General features: G+C 39.3%; 1 protein-coding gene and 1 pseudogene across 8 annotated transcripts in view; both read right to left on the bottom strand.

Moving 5' to 3' along the window:
* Nucleotides 1–24,643, bottom strand: part of SOAT1 (sterol O-acyltransferase 1) — a 64,884-nt gene that overhangs the window by 28,547 nt on the left and 11,694 nt on the right. For 4 of the 8 annotated variants that reach the window (XM_011509911.2, NM_003101.6, NM_001252512.2 and 1 more), the window contains one exon: nucleotides 6,639–6,697. The exons of 2 other annotated variants lie outside the window; for them this stretch is intronic. In XM_011509911.2, coding sequence (XP_011508213.1) covers nucleotides 6,639–6,697 — 59 coding nt within the window. Of the gene's footprint in view, nucleotides 1–6,638; nucleotides 6,698–7,595; nucleotides 7,615–12,686; nucleotides 12,691–15,123; nucleotides 15,128–24,643 lie in introns of those variants that run through there. 2 more of the 8 variants (XM_047428828.1, XM_047428831.1) reach the window with 2 other exon arrangements.
* LOC100420262 (mitochondrial fission factor pseudogene) lies at nucleotides 22,716–23,295 on the bottom strand (annotated as a pseudogene).

Raw genomic sequence — 24,643 nt, 5'->3', positions numbered from 1 at the left:
GTGTGTATAATAAACTCCTGTCCTTCCACTTGGCTAGCTTTGCATTAAACTCCTTCTCTACTGCTTTACCACTGTCTCAGTCCATTGGTTTTGTCTGTGCAGAGGGTAAGAAGAACCCAACGGGCAATTACAAATGGTGAGGCAGGGAACTGGAAGGAACCAAACCAGGGTCCTTAAGGACCATGGAGCCAGTATCAGCTATGGACCTGCTACCTCTGAACTGTTGACATGAGAAAAAGAAATTACTAATCTTGTATAAGCCCCTATTATTTTGTTCACTATTACAGCAAAACCCAATCTTAACTTACACAATAATCACAGGATTTCTGGGCAGAAAATACTTAAGACTTGTCTCTCCAGCAGTCGGCCAATAAATCAATAGATAAACACTATCCAAAAACTTCTTTTTTTTTTTTTTTGAGATGAAGTCTTGCTCTGTTACCCAGGCTGGAGTGCAGTGGTGTGATCTCAGCTCACTGCAACCTCCACCTCCTGGGTTCAAATGATTCTCCTGCTTCCAGAGTACTTGGGACTACAGGTGTATACCACCAGACCCGCCTAATTTTTGTTGTATTTTTAGTAAAGATGGGGTTTCACCATGTTGGTCAGGCTGGTCTCGAACTCATGTGATCCGCCAGCCTCAACCTCTCAAAGTGCTGGGATTACAGGCGTGAGCTACCATGACCGGACCAAAAACTTATTTAGAAGGCGTTACTTGAATGACTGAAAAAACATGGTGAGAAACTCTTATTTTCAGACATGACACTTGAGTCTTTTTTTTAATTTATTTTTTTGAGACAGAGTTTCACTCTTGTCTCCCAGGCTGGAGCGCAATGCCATGATCTCGGCTCACTGCAACCTCTGCCTCCTGGGTTCAAGCGATTCTCCTGCCTCAGCCTCCCTAGTAGCTAGGATTATAGGCATGTGTCACCACACCCAGCTAATTTTTGTATCCTGACTCTTACTCATCAGTTTGATCATTTAATGGCTGGACAATAGCATAAGGTACTGATGTGAAAAAACAATATTTGAAATGCTATATAAGAAGCAAACAGAATATGTTGCAACAATTTTTTTTTTTTTTTTTGAAGACAAAGTCTGGCTCTATCACCCAGGCTGGAGTGCAGTGGCGCCATCTCAGCTCATTGCAACCTCCACCTGCTGGGCTCAAATGATCTTCCCACCTCAGCCTCCCGAGTAGCAGTACTACTCGGGCACGCACAATCATGCCCAGCAAATTTTTTGTATTTTTTGTAGACACAGGGTTTTGCCATGTTGTCCAGGCTGGTCTCGAATTCATGAACTCAACTGATCTGCCTACCTTGGCCTCCCAAAGTGCTGCGATTACAGGTATGAGCCAATGCGCCTGGCCCAAAAATGTATTTTTAAGAAGGAGAAATAGAAAGTAATTTTTTTCATCCTTTTAATATTCACATGAGACCTAACATTCCCTCTATAAAGTTGTGTACATTAATAAAAGTTTGACAAATACCAATTAGTAAAGACATTCCCTTTGCCCTTCTTAACATATTCATTTTTCTCTGAAAACTATTCTCAGAGCCAAGGACAGGCATGTAATGTCCAGGCCAGGGCTGTACTATATGACCTTGTCCTTCCGGCCAAAATTCAATTCTCTGTCTTATAATAAATCTGAGGTTCTGAGCTTTGAAAGAAAGTGAGTGGGAACTTTATTATATTGAAATATCTAAAGTATCTAAACTCTTCCTACTAAAATCCTTACTCTTTACAGAGCTTGAATGTTCATCTTCTCCTAAGATTCTGTGAGATATATTAATATCATTTGAATATATTTTCTTTTATGCCTAAATAAACCAAAGTAGGCTTCTGTTATTTGCAACCAAAAGAAATAGCTTAACATAATGTTAAAGCAAAGCTAGGCCAGGGATGGTGGATCCCTCCTGTAATCCCAGCACTTTGGGAGGCCAAGGCAGGAGGATTATTACTTGAGCTGAGGAGTTTGAGACCAGCCTGGGCAACATAGTGAGACCTTGTTTCTGTTAAAAACAACAACAACAAAAGCAAAGGTAATTTAATTGTTAATGTAAGTTGGTTGGGACTTAATCATATGAATCTCCCTTGGACTGTTCTAAGATCTTTTAAGTCTTGTTACAACACAATTCTAAGGATTTCAAAAGGTCATAACTCAGAGTTACACAAGTTTGTATGACCCCACTGGCATTAGATAAAAAATACATACTGAAAACCTTTTTTAACAAGCATGTTAGACCTCGAGGCGACCTTAAGAGATTCAGTCAGTTCAAACCACTAATTTCAACACACTCATGTTATCACTTCCCTCACTCCTCTTCCCTTCAGACTAAAAGGTTTGCTCAATGCTTGACGAACTTCTTCACACTTTTCCTTACTTAATAAGAGCTCCTCTATCTACACATCTAACTTTTCACAGAGTTCTTTGTTGGTTGCCCAATTTGGCAAATAAAAAATATAGGACACTATATTTAAATTTAAATTTCAGATAAATAACGTTTTAGTCTGTCTCAAATATTGCATGATTACTAAAAAAGTATTCATTGTTTATCAGAAATTCAAATTCGACTGGACGTACTGTATTTTACCTGACAACTCTAGCTCTGTGGAGCTGAAACAGCTGCCGGATGAGATTTATCTACTACCTATACAATAACAAGCAGTGAATTCTGAAAAAGTTTTCGTCAGCTACACAATTATGACGTAAACCTTTAGAGCTAAAAGGGACCTTGGAGACAACTAGTGCAATGCTCTCACTTTAAAGATCAAGGAAAGATGAAGTGACGACTGGGAGGAACATGACACAAATTATAAATGACCGGAAAGATTCCTAACTTGCATTTAAAAAAAATTATTTGTAAAAACCCACAAGAGGAATTAGTATGTGAAAAAACAAGCCAAGTTCATGGCTCTGAACAATGTTCACATACCTATCATCTCAAGTCCTTCCATGTTAGTAAATGTCAACCAATAAGGCTAAGCAACAACTAAAAAAATGTGACCAATTAGAGATCTCTTATAAATGGGATGATGTAAGTAAGTAAGATTGTGTATATAAAGCACCTAGTATAAAAGCTTAGCCTGTAAGAGGACTTCTAAATGTAGTTCCCTTCTCCTACTGGCTCATCTGTTTCCTCGGTCTAGAATACTAAAATATTACAATAGCTCCCTGTCTATTCTCACTGTCTCTAAACTCTATATGCCATCCTGAACTTTCAGATCAGAACAGTAGTCCTACTATATCTTGTTCAGAAACATTGCAATTGGCTGGGTGCGGTGGCTCATGCCTGTAATCCCTGCACTTTGGGAGGCCGAGGTGGGGTGGATCATTTGAGGCCAGGAGTTCCAAGACCAGTCTGGCCAACATGGTGAAACCCCACCTCTACTAAAAATACAAAAATTAGCCGGGCATGGTGGCACATGCCTGTAATCTCAGCTGCTGGGGAGGGTTAGGCAGGAGAATCACTTGAACCCGGGAGGCAGAGGTTGCAGTGATCAGAGATCGTGCTACTGCACTCCAGCCTGGGCGACACAGTGAAACTCTGTCTCAAAAAAAAAAAAAAAAAAAAAAAAAGAAAAGAAATTACAATTAATAAACAATGGTAAAATATTCAATCTCATTAGACAGCAAATAATTGACAATTTTAAAACTTCTAAGTCAAATCACCTAAAGTTCACCAAATGGCATGTGATGACTCATTCAGAACAATGCACAGTCTAATACATATAGAGTATATAGTAGGGGTATAAACTAAGTAGTTAGGAATATAGAGTAGCGAGGACATCATTTCAACTGCAATGTTCAGAAAACTGTAGAAGCAGCAAGATTTGACCTAGAATTTGAAGGATATACATTATTTTGATTTGTGAATGGAGAAAGAGGAAATTTCAGATAGAAAGAGCTACATGAAGGAGGGCATAAAAGTCGAGAAAAAATGCTTTATAATCTAGCCTCAAGTTTTCAACTTTTTCTTGCCATTGTGCCCCAATAGAGACACAGATGTCCATCAAGTGCCCTAAAATATGTACGGTGTAAGTTTTCTAACACCATTACCTTTGTTCAGGCCAATACTTCCCTTAACATCAGGGAACAAGTCTTGCACAACTCTGCAACCCTTATGTCACCTGCACAATACACATATTAATACTAGCTAAACCAGGGTCCACCATTCTTTCAGCTTTTCCCTTATTTCATTCATTACTTTCTCCTTCTAATCCTCCTAAATGACCAAGCTAAAAGATTTCATAATTTTATTAATATATAAAGCAGACAAGTACAATATTCTTTAAAAAGTTTTAACTTAAATCCTTGGAACATCCCCCCTTCATCCTGCCACCACTTTCTACCCCTTTCCCCCAAAACCTCTACTTTCCACCCCAAACTCCCTTTCGCCTTTGGGTTTGTGATTCTGTATGGGAAAGGTTCTCCTCCCACTTTAGGTTTTTAAATAGAGGAATGATAGCAGAGACAGACTTACTTTTCACCTATTTGAAACTTGCCCTCACAAATAGAACATAATATGTTTTTGTGTTCTTGATAAGAAGAGGAGGAGCAAAAGAGGACAAAAGAAGAATTGAAAAAGGAATAACAAAAATGTAGGTATCCTGCCTGACTAGAGAAATAAAAAGGGTCAGAAACACTCTAGTAAACCACAAAAACAAAATTTATTTTAGGCCGAGCGTGGTAGCTCACGCCTGTAATCCCAGAACTTTGGGAGGCCGAGGCGGGCAGCTCACGAGGTCAGGAGATTGAGACCATCCTGGCTAACACGGTGAAACCCCGTCTCTACCAAAAAATACAAAAAAAATTAGCCGGGCATGGTGGTGGGCACCTGTACTCCCAAATACTCGGGAGGCTGATGCAGGAGAATGGTGTGAACCCGGGAGGTGGAGCTTGCAGTGAGCCGAGATCGCGCCACTGCACTCCAGCCTGGGCAACAGAGCGAGACTCTGTCTCAAAAAAAAAAAAAAAAAAAATTAGTCACTAAACTTGCAAGAATAGATGTTTAAAACTAGCACGTGCCAGCCGGGTGTGGTAATCCCAGCCTGTAATCCCAGCACTTTGGGAGGCCAAGGCAGGAGGATCACGAGGTCAGGAGATTGAGACCATCCTGGCATGCAGTGAAACCCCATGTCTACTAAAAATTACAAAAAATTAGCCAGGCGTGGTGGCATGTGCCTGTAGTCTCAGCTACTCAGGAGGCTGAGGCAGGAGAATTCCTTGAACCCAGGAGGCGGAGGTTGCAGTGAGCCGAGATCGTGCCACTGCACTCTAGCCTGGGCGACAGAGACTCTGTCTCAAAAACAAACAAACAAACAAACAAACTAGCATGTGTCTATACGTTAAATATTGTTATTTTCTTAGCCAAAATTATAAGTTAGTCATCAGATAAAAAGTTGCATAACAAATCCTTAAACAATCTCTTATGATGGAGAAACAAAGCACTAATTGGAAAAGACATTCATCAGAAATGATCTTCATCACTGTAGTGCTGGAGGCTTACAAAGGTAACTTAATGGAATCAGGAAAAATAAAGTTTAACACCCTATTAACTAGGAGTCTATACCCACAATTTCAAGTGCAGTAAATACATCTTTTGAGTACCACTTTATAAAGCAGTACCATAAGGAATTACATTGCAGTCATCACAAATATGCCTACAGGATGATGGAAGGAGGACAGGGTAGATCTCTTAATGTTAAGCAAATATGTTCTTTAATAAATTTTCTGTGACAGCATCCTCCTTGGACTCAAACAGTACTGATTTCCAACACATTAGATGAAAGTACAAATACTATGCCCCTGGCCTTGGATGATAACTGAAAAACTAGGTCTGATAATAACAAAGACATTGACATCAAAGTGAGTATAAATAATCTGGCATACATTTCATGAAATATGATTACAAAAATATTTCTAAATCTAGATTATTCTATAAATGCATATGTACATACATACATGCATGTAACTAAATAAATAAAACAGGGCTACTTCATCTTCATCACCGGATGTTTATATAGTCAAACTGGCCAACAAATTTTGGAAGTGATCTTCTCCTTGGGAAAACAGGAGTTTGCTTTGGATTTTAAGTCAACTTACACCCAGGTATTGGATTATAATGTTTTTTTAAAAAAGTGTTCTTCGCCCTCCACAATTTCCTGAGGGTACTGAAGAATTCTGGTTTGTAGAACTATTTATCCCCACTTGAAATGATTTCATGATTTTTTTTCGAGTTGTTATTTCTACTTCCTTGACAGGGAATCTACTTCTAGATTCAGATTCAACATTTATTGGAGAGCTGCTATTTACTATGAATCATGACAGATACTTTCACAAAGCACTCATACAGACATTCAACGCTATCAACTGTTAACGTGGGTCACTAAAACCAAGATTTGCTGGTAAGAGACAGAAAATGCCAGTGATAGATGAGATGGGAGAGAAAAAGGCAATCTGGATCCTTACGCAGGATGACAAGTCAGCAGATCTTATTTTCTTGTTCCACAGGATAACAGCAACTGATGAATGGCTTAAATAATTATCTGAGCAATTTAGCATTAAAAATGTTACCAAACAAAATTCTATCTAAAACTCTACATTTTTGTTTCTAGAAGAGGGAGTTACTTGCCTCTGCCTCTGCTGTCAACTTTATCTTCTTTGCTATCAACTGTTTTATGTCAATTCGACCTACGGGAAGAAAAAAACATGACTTTTAAGTTGATGGATACAGCTACCTAGTAGCACTGTCTAAATCATAAAGTTGAAAACAAACAAATACAAAGGTAACTGCGTAAACTGTGGTGCAACCATAAAACACGACAGCATGGTCAAAATAACTAGAAGGAAATTTATACATGAAAATACTAAGAACAAAACTAGTAAATGTACACACAGTAATTACAACGATGTTAATTATGCAATGCTATAGATCTGATTCTGACAGCATGGGAAATTAGATTCCCTGAACAGATTCCACAGTTGAGACCACTAAGATGCTGGGTAAAATATTAAAAAACGAAAACCTTTTAAAACTTATTGCCAAGCTAGTACAAATTCAGAGGCAAAAAAAAAAAAAAAAGAAAGAAAAGAAAAGAAAATGAAACTAGAATCCTAGGGGACATATAAGAAACGTAAGGATTCTCGACAAATCCTAGCAACCTTGAAGCAACACAGGGTACAGTATTTTTGCAGAATAGTACACAGAGGACAATACTTTACAGAATGGCAAAGTCTAGGGCCTGCCCAAAATGGGAAGTCTAACAGGATACTGCCACGTAAAACTAGGGACCACACATAAGGCTACATCCTCAGTGTATAAGAAAGAAACCAAAACAGAAGGAAATCTGTCTGTCTCTACTTGATGCTGTGCAGAGAGGGAAAATTTGCCCCAAGAAATCATAACCCCCTCACTAGTGTTTGCAATCTAAATTCACACTATCTATGTGGTCTGAAAAATATGAGATAAATATGTTCTAAAGCTAACCCAAGTCGGGTCTCCAGGCTACTGGCAGACATAAGTGCAATTCCTCCCTGGAAGATTACAGTATCAATCAAGGCCGTACAGAATTCCAACAGATAAAGTTACCATAAAAAGAAGAGGCTTGTCCCAGCTATTCAGGAGGCTGAGGCAGGAGAATCACTTGAACCTGGGAGGCGGAGGTTGCAGTGAGCCGAGATTGCGCCACTGCACGCCAGCCTGGATGACAGAGTGAGACTCTGTCTCAAAAAAAAGAAAAAAAGAAAAAAAAGGAGAATAGTCAAACTTCATAAAACACACTAGGAAACTAGGCAGAATAAATGGGAAACAGCAGAAACAAAAGCCAAGAGATGCAGATCTGAAAAACTAAAGATAATGGAATTGTTACTTTTAGGACAAAAAAATCAGAATGATCAATATGTTAAGGGAAATAAAAGTGAAACTTGAAAACATAGAAAAGGAAGGCTGGGCGTGGGGGTGCACACTTGTAATCCTAGCACTTTAGGAGGCTGGTGGGGAGGATTATTTGTTGCCAGGAGTTCAAGACCAGCCTGGACAACATAGCAAGACCCCATCTCTACAAAAAAAAGTTTTAAAATTAGCCAGGCATGGTGGTGCACGCCTGTAGTCCCAGCTACCTGGGAGGCTGAGGTGAGAGGATCACTTGAACCCAAGAATTTGAGCCTGCAGTGAGCGTGATCGCACCACTGCACTCCAGCCTGGGCAACACAGTGAGACCCTGTCTCAAAAAAAAAAAGGAAAGAAAAAAAGAAGGAAAACATAAGCAAGTAACAAGAAACCATTTAACCAAACAGATTTGAAAACAAACAAGATTTCTCAAAACAAAAAAAAATTGAAGTTTCAAATTCAATGGATAAATTAAACAGTAGATTAAACATGTCTGAAGAGAGTACTAGTAAATGGGAATATAGATCAAAGGAAATTATACAGAGGATAGCCCAGAGAAATAGTGACAGAGAATAATAGGTTAAAAGACATAGAAGAGGTCCAACCAAACAGCCAATTGGAGATGGGAGCCAACCACAGCTGCGCTAGAGATGGAGGATAGTTCCACAACAAAGACTTCTGACTTGGAATTTCTGCAGACTATAATGGAGGAAATCATTATGTTATACAGTCTTAAGGTGAACATGAATGATAAAGATATAATGGTTCAGGCTATGCATGGTGCCTCATGCCTGCAATCCCCACACTTTGGGAGGCCAAGTGGGGAGGATCAGTTGAGCCTAGGGGTTTGAAACCATCATGGGCAATGTAGCAAGACCCTATCTCTACAATAAATGTTTTTAAAAATACAATGGTTCAAAAGAAAGTCTCAGAGGATCTATGCCAACGTGCCAAGAATAAAAAAAAATGCCATTCCTCAACCAGAAATGATTGCAAAGGATGACAAAGATTATGTCCAAGAATGTGAGTTCATGGCTGGGCGTGGTGGCTCATGTGTGTAATCCCAGCACTTTGGGAGGCCGAGGCAGGCGGATCACCTGAGTCAGGAATTCGAGACCAGCCTGGTCAACATGGCAAAACCCCACCTCTACTAAAACTATAAAAATTGTCCAGGCATGGTGGCAGACACCTATAATCCCAGCTACTTGGGAGTCCAAGGCAGGGACAATTGCTTGAACCCAGGAGGCAGAGGTTGCAGTAAGACAAGATCGCGCCACTGCATTCCAGCCTGGGAGACAGAATGAGACTCCATCTCAAAAAAAAAAAAAATACAAAAATTTGACAGGCCGTGGTGGCGTGCGCCTGTAGTCCCTGACACTTGGGAAGATGGCAGAACAATCACTTGAACCTGGGAGGTGGAAGCTGCAGTGAGCTGAGATTATGCCACTGCACTCCAGCTTGAGCAACAGAGCGAGACTCTGTCTCAAAAAAATAAATAAGTAAAATAAAATAAAAGAATGTGAGTTCATCAACTTTATAATATCTGATGCAAATAAAAGGTGCCATGAAGAAAATGGAATAAAAATTGAACTAAATAAGTCTAAAGACATCCCATATTCATTGACTAGAAGATTTAATATTGTTAATATGGCAGTGCTCCCCAATTTTTCTATAGATTTAAAGCAATACTCACTAAAATTTCACCTGGCTTCTTTGCAAAAATTGACAAGCTGATCCTAAAATTCATATAGAAATTCAAGAACACAGAATAGCCATACAAATCATGAAAAAAAAAATAACAAAGCTGGAAAACTCACACTTCCCAATTTTAGAGATAGACACATAGATGATCAATGTAAAAGAACTGAGAGTCCAGAAATAAACATTCACCTTTATGATTATTAATAATTGATTTTCGAAAAGGGTGCCAAGAAAAATGCGGAAAGATTCTTCTTTTCAACAAATGGAGCTGGGACAACTGAATAGCCACATGAAAAAGCATGAAGATGGACCTGGAACTCACACCATATGTAGAAACTAACTCAAAAAGGATCAAATACCTAAAAATATAGAAGAAAACAGGCCTTGGACTAGACAATGACTTCTTAAACACCAAAAGAACAATCAAGATTAGAAAATATAGAAAAACTATATTGATAGATTCTATCAAAATTTAAGTCACTTTTGTGCTACAAAGAACACCATCAAGAAAGTAAAACGACAACCCATAGAATGGGAAAAAAAAAAATTTGCAAATCTGATTAGGGACTTGTATCCAGAATACATAAAGAACTCTTACAACTCAACATTAAAAAGACAAATAGGCCAGGCATGGTGGCTTACATCTGTAACCATAGCACTTTGGGAGGCCAAGGTGGGAGGATCACTTAAGCCCAGGAGTTTGAGACCAGCCTGGACAATATGGCAAAACCCCTTCTCTACTGAAAATACAAAAGTTAGCTGGGCGTGGGATGCGCACTTGTAGTCTCAGCTACTTGGGAGGCTAAGGTGAGAGAATCGCTTGAACCTATGAAGCAGAAGTTGCAGTAAGCCAAGAATGTGCCACTGCACTCCAACCTGGGCTACAGAGCAAGACTGTCTCAAAAATAAAGTAAAATAAAATAAAAAAATAAAAAGACAAATAGTCCAATTAAAACATAGGCAAAGTACGCCAGGTGCGGTGGCTCATGACTGTAATCCCAGCATTTTGGGAGGCCAAGGCGGGCAGATCACCTGAGGTCGGCAGTTCGAGACCAGCCTGACCGATGGGGAGAAACCCCGTCTCTACTAAAAATACAAAATTAGCCAGGCATGGGTGGCACATGCCTATAATCCCAGCTACTTGGGAGGCTGAGGCAGGTGAATAGCTTGAACCCAGGAGGCGGAGGTTGCAGTGAGCCGAGATCGCGCCATTGCTCTCCAGCCTGGGTGACACAGCGAGACTCTGTCTTTTAAAAAAAAAAAAAAAAAAGGCAAAGTAACTGAACAGATATTTCTTTTAAAAAAAAAAGCCCAATAACCACACAAAAAGACACTCAACATCCCTGGCCATCAGGAAAATTCAAATCAAAAGTACAATGAGGTATCATTTCACACCCACTAGGATGGCTATAATCAAAAACACAAACAACAAGTGTTGGCTTGAATGTGAAGAAAGAAACTTCAACTATCCAGGATATTGCTGGTGGGAATGTTAAATGGTGTAGTGCTTTGAAAAACAGTCTGGAAGTTCCTCGACAGATTAAACACAGAGCCAACATAAGACCTAGGACTAGGTATATACACAAGAGAAATAAAAACATGCCCTCTCAAAAACTTGTATATGAATATTCATGGGCAGCATTAGTCATAATAATAGAAAGTGGAAACAAATACCCATAAACTGAAAAACAGATTAATAAAATGTAGTATATCCATAAAATGGATTAACAATAAACCAAAAGAAATATTAATACATGCTATAATATGGGTGAAACGTAAACATTTTGCCAAGTGAAAAGAGGAAGTCACAAAAGACTACATATCGTATGATCCTATTTACATGACAATGTCCAGAATAGACAACTACTGAGACAGACAAAACGCTGGTGGTTGCCTAGAGAGTGAGGCGCGGGGTTATGGCAAAAAGGGAATAACTGCTAATGGGTACAGGGTTTTGGGGAGGTGATGCTAAAAATATTCTAAAATTCATTTCATTCTAATTTCTCTGTTCTGAAATATTCTTTTCTGTATATTAAGTTACAGTAATGTAATTTCCTGGTGTTTAACCTGACTAACGGCGGTATTCTGACTGAGAATCTTTTTCGTAATTTTATAACAAAAATTGGATTTGAAAGGTATGACAGTATTTTTTATGAGAATGTGCTGCTCTGTATAACTCCTGTGTATGTATGGTGCATACTGAGCTTTATTATTGTCACAGATTTAGAGACAGTTTCTTATTTTCACACTGAATCATGGTACCATTATAATTTTAAAAGCAGTGGGATTAATTGATCTCTGCCCTTTTAATAAAATATGGGTAGAGTTTTGGGGGCTTTTTTTGAGACAGGATCTCACTCTGTCATCTAGGTTGGACTGCAGTGGCACAATCACAGCTCACTGCAGCCTCTAACACTTGATCTCAAGTGATCCTCCTGCATCAGCCGCCCCGCTAGCTGGGACCATAGATGTGTGCCACCACACCCAGCTAATTTTTTTTTAAGTGTTTTGTAGAGACAAGGTCTCACTATGTTGCCCTGGCTGGGCTTGACTTAACTCCTGGCCTCAAACAATCCTCCTGCCTCAGCCTCCCAAAATGCTGAGATTATAGGCATGTGTCACCATGCTTAGCCCAGGGTAGAGTTAATTTTGAATGCCATCTGCCATTATTCACAAATGAGTTTGTGAATAATGAGATACTAAATATCTTTATTCTATCCTTTTAATAAAGTGTCAAGTCATCTGTTATATTATGGGAACCGAGAAACATCAGACGTCATTATGTGCACAGACCTACACAGATAAGTGAATGAAACAGAATGGAATGAATACTGAAAACTGTGAAACAGAAAACCACAACGTCTAGTTTGCTATCTTCGTTAAAAAAAAAAAAAAACCTATGATGATGAACTATCACTTTGGCAGATGAATTTTTAAAATTGAGAATTTGTATTTTCTTATTTACTCTACATGGTAATAGCTTAAGTATTTTTTTTTTTTTTTTTGAGACGGAGTCTCGCTCTGTCACCCAGGCTGGAGGGTAGTGGCGCGATCTCGGCTCACTGCAAGCTCCGCCTCCTGGGTTCACACCATTCTCCTGCCTCAGCATCCCAAGTAGCTGGGACTACAGGCGCCCGCCACCACGCCCGGCTAATTTTTTGTATTTTTACTAGAGACAGGGTTTCACTGTGTTAGCCAGGATGGTCTCGATCTCCTGACCTCGTGATCCGCCCGCCTCGGCCTTCCAAAGTGCTAGGATTATAGGCGTGAGCCACCGCGCCAGGCCAGCTTAAGTATTTTTATTTCAGCATTGACAATTGCTATTGTATATTTTGCCTAAAAAGGAAGATTAAAAGCCATTCAAATTTATAAAAGTAATTTCCCAGAAAAAATACACTGAACAGAAATATTTACTTTGCCAAAATGAACTTTGGAGGCATATTTGGGGTAATTTAAGCTTAATAACCCCTTCCCTTAAAAACAAACCATAAAAACATAAAAACAAACTCATACACATACTGCTTTATAACCTGTTTTTTTCACTTAATATATTGTAAACATTTTTCTCTGTCATTACATATTCTTGTATATTATTTTCACTGCCCTATTACTCTGTTTTTATGGTAGAAATATAATTTAATCTTCTATTGGACATTTCTTTTCACAGTATGTCACTTGGAAGAAAGACATGAAGAATGAGAAGGTACAAAATGCATCTAATCAGAGCTCTATACAGAGAGATAATATTTGAGGTGATTATAGCTGAGAATTGGCCAGAACTGTTGAGAGACACAAATTCTAGGATAAAGTCAAAGAATTCCAAGCAGGATAAATAATCTACTTAGTGCCAGGCGTGGTGGCTCACGCCTGTAATCCCAGCACTGTGGGAAGCCAAGGCAGGTGGATCACCTGAGGTCGGCAGTTTGAGACCAGCCTGACCAACATGGAGAAGCCCTGTCTACTAAAAATACAAAATTAGCTGGCGTGGTGGCACATGCCTGTAATCCCAGCTACTCAAGAGGCTAAGGCAGGAGTATCGCTTGAACCCGGGAGGTGGAGGTTGCGGTGAGCCGAGATCATACCATTGCACTCCAGCCTGGGCAACAAGAGTGAAACTCCATCTCAAAAGAAAAAATAATAATAATAATCGACTTAGATATATCACAGTGAAACTGTCTGACGCAGGGGTTAAAAAAAAAAACTAAAAGCACCCAGAAAGAATATCAACTACGCAAGTACTGCAATTACAACGCATACCTGACTTAACATCAATGGAAGCCAGGAGACAGTGGAATGTCTTCAATTATCGATAATGGCAGAATTGATGACTGGGAAGAAGGCTAGGTCATATAATAACAAGGGCTTTGAGGAAACTAAGAATTTTATGCAGGAAAATACTGAGCTGATATTGGAAGATGGAAAGGACCACATAACAGAGAAATGCAATAAATCCGGACAAAAAGTGATGTTGTAAATGGCAAGGAGAATGGAGAGCAGAGGATTAATTTAAGATATTTACAAATTGGTAACTGATTAAGAAATATAAGGGTAAGACAAATGTCCATTTGATTTTTCAATAAGTTAAAGAATATATTTTTAATTTAGTTCTATGACCAGACCATGGTTTCATAAATGAACTATTTCATAAAAAAATGAAGACAAAAGCTTCTTTCCTTCAACTAATTCAGCTACCATGGGAGAGGAGGATTGGTAAGGAGACTGTAAAAGATTAATTCTCACTACTTGTGCATCCCTTCCAAAAAGAATCTGTCTATCCATAAATAACACGACAGCCATCATTACAAACAGGCTTTGAGATGCAGCCACTGGAAAGTTAGAAAAAAGATTTGTTCACAGAGTCTCTGAAGACCCCACTGAAAATGACAAAGTTAAGTAAGTGGAAGAAAAATATATTTTAAAATGCTAATTCATTTTCCTTTACCTTCAAAATACCTCTTCATACAATATTACAAAGAAATTCTTAACTTTCTACAATTTAAAATTTAAAAATTAGATGTCAAAGTCAAAAGAATGCCTAAAAGCTAATATCCACTGCTTTTTTTTTTTTAAGACAGGTTCTCACTCTGTTGCTCAGGCTAGGGGGCAGTGGCTATGGCATGATCATAGCTCACTGTGGCCTGGAACTCCTAGGCTCAAGGGATCCTCCCGCCTCAGCCTCCCAAGTACCTAGGACTACAGGCACATGCCACCACACTCACATGCCACCACACCCACCTAATTAAAAAAAATTTTTTTGTAAAGGCAGAGCCTCGCTATGTTGCCCAGGCTGGTCTTGAACTCCTGGCCTCCAGCAATCCTCATGCCTTGGCCTCTGAAACTGTTGGGATTACAAGGATGAGCCACCATCCCCACCCACATCCAATGATTTGAAGAACTATTTACAAGCACTCAACTCAAGGCTTCTCAATTTCTAAAACACTGACCCTGAAACAATGATAAGCCAGGACTGAGGGTGATGTAATTTCGGAATCATTTGCCTCCCTCTAGTAACACACTAACTGCTAACACTAGGAGTCAGTTATTTGCTATCTGAAACTTAATAGAACCCCGCATAAGTCCATAAGGAAAACTATTCAACATTTTTTCCCTTAAATTTCTGATTTCTAAAAAAATCAGGCTTGCAATACTTATCTTCATGAATAAATGCTATCTCTTTTAAAACCTGCTATACTTAATGGGAATGTTTAAAATTTATTCCTTGACATGTCAAAAATCTTATTTTAACCAGTTTTGATGAAAATTTTTGTAAAATTATGACATGCTTTGCTACCCTAAAAAAAACACCAGACTCCAGGCGTGCTGGCTCACGCCTATTATCATCCCAGCACTTTGTGAGGCTGAGACAGGAGGGTCACTTGAAGCCAGGAGTTTGAGACCAGCCTGAGCAACAAAGTGAGACCCCCCCATTCTCTACAAAAAAATAAAACAAAAATGTACTTTACCCTACATAATCTTCGGAACAAGTAAGAGAGATCCATTGTTGTACCATACTATTATAGTGATATCTTTAGCAAAAACGGAAATGTGGAGTGCAATCAGGCCCCACTCAGCAGTCCTGGGGAGCTGTGCCTTTCTACCTAGGCTGCTTCCACAGGGTTCTCCCTAACAATCGTACACTTCTATTACTATAGTCAATCTACCGCCAAAGCTACACAGAAGAAAAGAGACAAATAACCAGGCTTGTTAAATTGGTAACTAATTTACTCAATTTATATACTCATGCATTAAGTAAAAGCCCACTGAGGACCCAATACATGCAGGGCAAACCCTCCCTTCAGGATCTCAGGAGAAAACTACAAATAGGGAAAAGGACAATACAGAGGAGCGCTGTGGGAGAATGAGGGGTGTAGGAGGCTTTTGCAGGAGTCAATATTTGAACTGAGTCTCAAATAATAAAGAAAAATTATGGTGAACAAATGCTAGAAACATTATTCCAGGCAAAGGAATGAAGCATGAAGACTTGTTGGATTTTTCTGAGGCCTGAAGCTCAGTCAGATGCCTCTTAATGCCATGCTCTCTTTTCTTGACAATATTGTATTTAATAGGCTTTGGCCTAAGGGAAGCTTATCTACTTACTTTCTAGGCCACCAGTTACATTCCTGATCAGTGTCGTCCTATAAACATACAATGTGTGGCCAGGCACGGTGGCTCACACCTGTAATCCCAGTACTTTGGGAGGCCGAGGCAGGCAGATCACCGGAGGTCAGGAGTTCGAGACCAGCCTGACCAACATGGGGAAACCCCGTCTCTACTAAAAATACAAAATTAGCCAGGCGTGGTGGCGCATGCCTATAATCCCAGCTACCTGGGAGGGTGAGGCAAGAGAATCGCTTGGACCTGGGAGGCGGAGGTTGCGGTGAGCAGAGATAGCACCATTGCACTCCAGCCTGGGCAACAAAAGCAAAACTCTGTCTAAAAAAAATATATATATACATATATATACACACATATACATATATATATACACATATATACACACATATACATATATATATACACATATATACACAGACATACACATAAAATGTGAATCACCATGTGTAATTTTAAAATTTTTAGGAGCCACATTAAAAAGTAAAAAGAAATGGGTGCCAGTAAGTCTCTGAAATCTGACATATCATAACTATAGTGTTTCTCAATCCAGACTAGCCACATTTCAAGTGCTCAACCAGACTACATTAAACAGTGTACTTCTAGTGGCAACCATATTGAACAACGTAATTCTAGATCAAGAGTCAGAAAGCTTTTTCCGTAATGGGCAGTATAGTCTGCAACTATGTAACAACTACTCAACTCTACTGTGATAACAGGAGAAAGCACTACAAACACAAAAGAATGAACACGGCCACGTTTGCCAACTTTGTTCTAGATGGCCAAGTTTACTGTAAATCTGGTTGGCAAATAAAACAGACAAGTACACACACATTATTTTTTATAATGTAACACAGCCATGGTGAACACTGCCGGTTGCTTCCCAAATAAGGACATGCATGTCACTGCCTTTGCGAGAAACTGATTTAAAAATGGACCTGAGTATCAGACAGCAAAGAGATGACCCACTCAAGCTTATTGACTGGGAAAAATTTAAAGAGGTCCTTTTTCTAGTGTGTGGTCAGAGTTTAAGAAAAGCAACAAAGGATGGTAATAAGGATGATATGGAATTCTAGGGCTAGTAATAAACATCAGGAAAGCTGTTACCATCCTGAGGCCAGAAAGGGCAAAGCGGGTAAAGGGTTAGTGGAACCCAGAGAGAACTCTTTAGAGAGAAATATTAGAAAGGAGCAATGGTTACCTACCAGGGAGAGAACCTTAGTTATAAATACACCCACCTTACTCTCTGCTCTTAGATCTCCTGAAGTTCTCCCACTGGCCAAGCCTACCAGAAACACACAGGGCACTGGAGACTATTGTTGCAGTTCTTAACGTCAGTCTCCCAGGAAACAAAGTAGCGTAGAAAAGACTGGAGAGGCAAAAGGTAGATAGCCAGCATAACTTGTAATCTAACTCTGGCCAATGAGACACGAGAAGTCTGTAGGGGAATTTCTAGCGAAGGTTTCATCGCTAAAGAGAAAGACAGGGAAAGAGACAGTTTCTCTTCTGATAGAAGTCATCATTTTGGTTTTCCAGTTTTCTTAACCAGCACGGACTTACTAACCCTCTGTCATTATTTCTATCTGTCCCTTATCACCACCACCAATTTCCTGGACCCACCATGCCACACGCCGACTCCAGAAATTACCCGCTATCTGCCTTCTGATTCCAAATTGCCATGCGCTACAGAAAAAGTTAGGAAAATAGGCCCATTCTAAACTGCTGCAGTCAAGCCTTAGGCAGGCCAGCAATGAAAATATGCAATCTTTGTCTCTGCCTCTTGATGAATTTCTGTGACATTCCTCACAAAAGTAGTTGGAAACCTTTTCCACTTTCAAGTCCCAGCCCCACCAAGTAACTTTTAGTTGTTCAGTTTTGGTACCAAATCCTTAAATGTCTTCTATGTTTCTTAATTTTTGCTGTCTTTCAACCTCTTCTCCAACATTTCTGTGTCAGAGGAAAGAGTAGCCCATCTCTTTTTCAAGACTAACCCTTCAAACTATTATTGTCTTAATCATTCCCTATTCAAAAAGTTCAACCCACTGAGTCAATTATATTGTCCACATTTAAATTCAGAGACAATTTGTTCTTTAAAAATCATGTTTCAGAAATTATGATATGGATGTCATCAGTGATACTGAAAATAAAATCTGTAGTTCTACTAACACTTATCAAGTTATTATATATTTAATTTGTTTTTTAAAAATAAGTAATTGAACATCAAACCTATGATTTAACAATTTATTACTTAGGTTGAGAATAAATTTTCAAGTGAATTTTTTAAAGTTACATAGTAATAGTAATATAATGGCAAAATAACTGAAATTTAGAAACGATTTTTTTTTTAAAAACAGTCCTTTTGAAGATCACTTAACCCTCATGACATGCTGTACTTTTCCTTCTAATATAAAATGTTCTGAGAAAGAATTTTACACTTCTTATCTTTGTTTTCTTGCTAGCCAATAGTTTCCACCCATTTCTGCAACTCTTCTTTTCCCTGAAGACATTATGGCCTCCAAATTTCTAAATCCGCATCCTTGTTAAACTTGTTACAAATTTTAACATATAGTCTTGCTCTGTCACCCAGGTTGGAGTGCAGTGGTGCAATCCTAGCTCACTGCGACCTCTAACTCCTGGGCTCAAGCAATCCTCCCACCTCAGCCTCCTGAGTAGCTTCGGCTACAGGCACATGTTACCATGCCCACCTAACTTTTTTTACTTTTGTAAAGATGGGGTCTTGATATGTTGCCCAGACTGGTCTTGAATTCCCGGTCTCAAGCAATCCTTCCACCTCAGCTACTCAAAGTGCATGGATTATAAGCGTGAGCCACCACATCTGGCCTCATTTCTATTTTTAAAATAAAGAAACTGAGATTCAAAGAAATTGAACATCTTGTACACTGTCACATGGCCAATAAGTAACTGAGCCTGAAGAAATCCTTGTCTCCTGACCCCTAGTCATGCAGCATTGAAGAAAAAAAAAGGACAGCCAACCTATGTGATTACACTCATAAAGATGACTAAGGAATACTAAGCAGTGACTAATAACCAATTTTCAAGTTGCAGTTCTTTTAATAAATGTTTTCTTCATCTACTTGTGGCAAGAACAGAATTAGCTAACGTGTAGGCACTGACTAGTTTATTGCCTAGAAATTCAAACTCATTTTTAAATCCTGATTGTTTTCTAAAAAACTCTCATTGACCGTGTCTTATAATACCTACATTTCAGCTTCACTTTGTTCTCCACAAAGCGATACAAAAGTCACTTGAAAAGTCACCTTTATGTCCATAGTATGGTTAGGTTTAGGAGTATTTCTTGAAAGAGTCAATCACTTTTCAATCTTAACAATAAAAGGGAAGATAAGATAGTAAAATCCATCTGTAATCGTCTATTGCTCCACTGACCACAAAAACTTTACAAAGTTCTCAACTACTCACAAGTCTGCACTACTTCAGAAAAATGGAATCTGAGCCAGAAACGTGGATTAGTGCATGTTCATACAGAAACAGAGACTTAATAGATAATGTTGAAACAACTAACTAGCCATTTTGGAAAACTAAAAAATTAGATCCCCAATGATGAATGCATCACTCAAAAATAAATTTCATATGGATCAAATATTTCAATATAAAACACCACAAAAGTAAAAAAAAAAAAAAGTCATGTTTTCTTTTTGTCATAATCTTGGATGATTTCTAAGCATGACAAAAAAAATATCTATAAGCAGCCAGGCGTGGTGGCTCATGCCTGTAATCCCAGCACTTTGGGAGGCTGAGGTGGGTGGATCACTTGAGGTCAGCAGTTCGAGACCAGCCTGGCTGATATGGTGAAACCCTGTCTCTACTAAAAATACAAAAATTAGCAGGACATGGTGGTACATGCCTGTAATCCCAGCTACTCAGGAGGCTGAGGCAGGAGAATTGCTTGAACCCGGGAGGCAGAGGCTGCAGTGAGCCAAGATCACGCCATTGCACTCCACTCCAGCCTGGGCAACAGAGCGAGACTCCATCTCAAAAAACAAAAACAAAAATAAAAACAAAAACAAACAAAAAAAAAATTATAACAATTAAAAGAATATTTGATATATAAAAACAAAACATGGCAAAGCACACATACATAAGCAAAGTCAAAAGACAAATCACTAGTTTGATTAAGAAAATATTCAAAGTACATAATCAGAGGATTAATTTATTTAATATAGAAAAAGCTCTTAAAAATAATAACCACCAGATAAGGAATAAAAGTGAGCAAAGGATATGAACAGGGCTTTTAAAGAAAAAAAATACATGGTCAATAAATATGAAACAATTTCCCCACCTCACTTAAAATTCATGAGAACAAATTTATGCTATATGTATACTGTTTTTCACCCATCAAATCAGGAATTTTAAAAGACTGGTAAGATTATTGCCAAGAGTGTGGTGAAACAGTATAGTTAGGAATATAAATTGGCATAACATTTTTTAAAGGAAATTTGATAATGTCTAAATTTTAAATGCAAAAGCCCTTTGACCTAGCAATTTCACTTTTAAGAATGTATCCTGGCCAGGTGCAGTGGCTCACGCCTGTAATCCCAGCACTTTGGGAGGCTGAGGCAGGCGGCGCACTAGGTCAGGAGTTCGAGACCAGCCTGACCAACATGGTGAAACCCCATCTCTACTAAAAATACAAAAATTAGCAAGGCATGGTGGCGCACACCTGTAATCCTAGCTACTCAGGAAGCAGAGACAGAAGAATCGCTTGAACCAGGGAGGCGGAGGTTGTAGTGAGCCAAGATCGCACCACTGCACTCCAACTTGGGCGACAGAGTGAGACTCCGTCTCAAAAAAAGAATGTATCCTATAGGTATACCAGTACAAGTAAGCAATGATGCTGTTTCAATGATGCTCTCTGTAGCACTGCTTGTAATACTGCAACTTTGGAAACAGCCTAAGTTTCCATCAATAAGGAGCAAGTTAAATAAACCGCCAAGCATCCGTACAGCAGAAATACTACACAGGTATTTTAAAGAATTACATATACTAAATGAAAAGATATCTGAGACTTACAAAGTATAGAAGAAACAAATTGCAGAAGAGATCTCAAATATGATCCCACATGTAAAAAAAAATGTTACTTGAGGAAGTATTACTTAATAACTTTCTATAGTGTTTGAATTTTTTCAATGAGTATATATTACTTTAAATGTAAAAAAATTTATATGCATATTTGAGCAATTGGTTTAATAAAACCAAATCTTTTTTTTTTTTTTTTTGGACGGAGTCTTACTCTGTCACCCAGGCTAGAGTGCAGTGGCGCGGTCTCGGCTCACTGAAACCTCCGTCTCCCAGGTTCAAGCGATTCTACTGCCTCAGCTTCCTGAGTAGCTTAGATTACAGGCACCCACCACCACGCCCAGCTGATTTTTGTATTTTTAGTAGAGACAGGGTTTTATCATGTTGGTCAGGCTAGTCTTGAACTCCTGACCTCAAGCAATCTGCCTGCCTCGGCCTCCCAAAGTGCTGGGATTACAGGAGTGAGCCACCGTGCCCGGCCATCTGGGAACTATATTACTCAACTAGAGTAACTTTGGCTTCTTTTTCTTTTATCACCACATCTGTATCAACTGTGTAGGCTGCCTGTATATGCAAGAAGATAATCTGCCTTATTACCACTAAATTGTTACAACATCATATTATCTTGTTTTAAATCAAGAGATAATTTCTGGTAGGAATATTAGAGGATTTCATGTAGATTATAATTCTCAGTTGATATACAACAGGAGATTATAAAAGCTACCTCAGGAACTGGGACAGAAGAGTGGACAGCACTGCCAATAAGATAATACCTTAATGAGGCCAGGCGCAGTGGCTCACGCCTGTAATATCAGCACTTTGGGAGGCCGAGGTGGGTGGATCACCTGAGGTCGGGAGTTTGAGACCAGCCTGACCAACATGGAGAAACCCCGTTTCTACTAAAAACACAAAATAAGCCAGGAGGGTGGCGCATGCCTGTAATCCCAGCTACTTGGGAGGCTGAGGGAGGAGAATCGCTTGAACCTGGGAGGTGGAGGTTGTGGTGAGCCGAGATTGTGCCATTGCACTCCAGCCTGGGCAACAAGAGCAAAACTCCATCTCAAAAAAAAAAAAAAAAGATAATACCTTGATGAACACAGTGCTACATACGCAGAAAGTGCTTTCATATTTGCTATCCTTGGCTTTGCATAAAAGGTAACCTAAGCACTGACAAGCTGTAAGATTTGTCCAAAATCATTCACACAGGTAGGTCATCAGTCAATGACAATACATACAGTAAGACTTCAAGTCCTATTTTTTTTTGAAGTCTGCAAATCTTCCAGTAGTTAAGACCATTTTTTTTTAAGAGATGGGGTCTCACTATGTTGCCCAGGCTGGATTCCAACTCCTAGGCTCAAATGATCCTCCCAAGCAGCTCAGACTATAGATGCAAGCCACCACATAGAAGATGTTGATACAGTATTTCTGAGAACGGACATCACCTTTACAACAAAACCAGAGCCCCTATTAAGCATCCAGAATGCTACAGTAATCAAACACTGACCATTTCTTCTTGCATGTGTTTTGCTCTCCTCTTCTAGAAGCTGTAGATGTCTATTTAGTTTACCATCTTGATGAAGTTGCATCTACAACAGTCATGTCATCTGACATTCCTTCAACTACTGTAACTGTATCTATGTTTGAAATGTCTTACCCAACATTGTCATGATGAGGATTACAAGTGGCAGCAGCAGATATCCCACGCAACCCAGGTATACAATCATTTCTGACCAGCCGTCTGTTTTGGCAAACAGTGTTTTCACTCACAACTGCCAACTGCACAGATGTCTTCATTTTGAGGTATTAAAGGTGGTCTTTCTAAATCCAGAAAACATAGTCGTCTTTCATTTAACATTAAGTATGCAAGGCACTATTTTTAGTGCCAGAAGTTTAAAGGGAGCTGACTGAAAAAGTTTGAGATGTGCTGGTTTTGAAAAGGAAATGTCTTTATTATTTCCTACTACAACAATCCTCTCTGCCTTGTCACACTAGCATTTGTGACAGCATATGGTGGTGCTGCTTTTTTTTTTTTTTTTTTTTGAGATGGAGTCTCACACTGTTGCCCAGGCTGGAGTGCAGTGGCATGATCTCAGCTCACTGCAAGCTTCGCCTCCTGGGTTCACGCCATTCTCCTGCCTCAGCCTCCCAGTAGCTGGGACTACTGGTGCCCACCACCGCACCCGGCTAATTTTTTGTATTTTTAGTAGAGACGGGGTTTCACCGTGTTAGCCAGGATGGTCTTGATCTCCTGACCTCGTGATCTGCCCACCTCGGCCTCCCAAAATGCTGGGATTACAGGCGTGAGCCACCACACCTGGCTTTTGGTGGTGCTACTTTTAACGCTTCTGGAACCCTCATTAACAAATACCTTCAGTGTGTGCCATTTCACAATGAATTTAACTAATTTCCACCACCTTAGCAGCAGTAAAAGAAGGAAATACTGCCCAATCACCAAATGTATACCAATTACTGCTTGCTATTTGGCATTATGTGCTTCTATGCTTCATATCAAGTCCTTTGACTTGCTTCAATGTGCATGTGTCAAATTTAGAGCCACTTTTGTCCTCCTGGGCCCACTGGAGGGTCCCCAGCAAGGGCCACTACCCACTAGCTGCCAGGGCAGTTGGCTGGGCACTGAGAGGCTGTTGGAGCCTTATCTTCTTACTTACTTCTGGCCTTTCCAATTTGCTCTATACTCCTATCCATGAAAACCAACCACAAATCCATCTGTACTACCTACCCGTCACCCTCTCTAAAAGCAAACAAAACACCACACACACAACACTATACTGTCTTAAAAAGTCTTTGCAAATGCATACCTCTGTGGATTGAAAGCCCTCTCCCAGTCTTCTTATCTCAAAGGCCAAACTCAAAATCTACTTCAGTGAGACTTTCCTCCATTCTAAAGCAAGGGCTCCCCCAACCCCATCGGTCTCTATTTGGTTACTATAACTCACTTAGCTCCTATTTATAACAAAGGATTTTTTCTATTTGGGTATCTTATGCACACCAACTTCAAGCTCCCTATTAACAAACCTGGTACCCTATCTTACATTTAGATCAAAGGTGCTTAACTGACACCAGATTATTAATCTGTTGGCTGGAAGGCTATCATCAAAAGACAGATAATAAGTCTTGGTGAGGATATGGAGAAATTGGAACCCTCATACATTGCTGGTGGGAACATAAGAAGGAGTAGCTATTTTGGAAAAGTACAGCAGCTCCTCAAAAAGTTAAACATACATTTACCATGACTCAGCAACTCAACTCTTACGTATATACCCAAGAGAACTGAAAACATATATTCCATAAGCTTCTACACAAATGTTCATAGCAGCATCATTCATAATAGCCAATCATTGTAAATAACCCCCCCAAAA

The sequence above is a fragment of the Homo sapiens genome, chromosome 1 (assembly GCF_000001405.40).
Source record: "Homo sapiens chromosome 1, GRCh38.p14 Primary Assembly".
Lineage (NCBI taxonomy): Eukaryota > Metazoa > Chordata > Mammalia > Primates > Hominidae > Homo > Homo sapiens.
The sequence above is the reverse complement of the archived record's forward strand: the minus strand, read 5'-3'. Positions and strand labels throughout refer to the sequence as shown.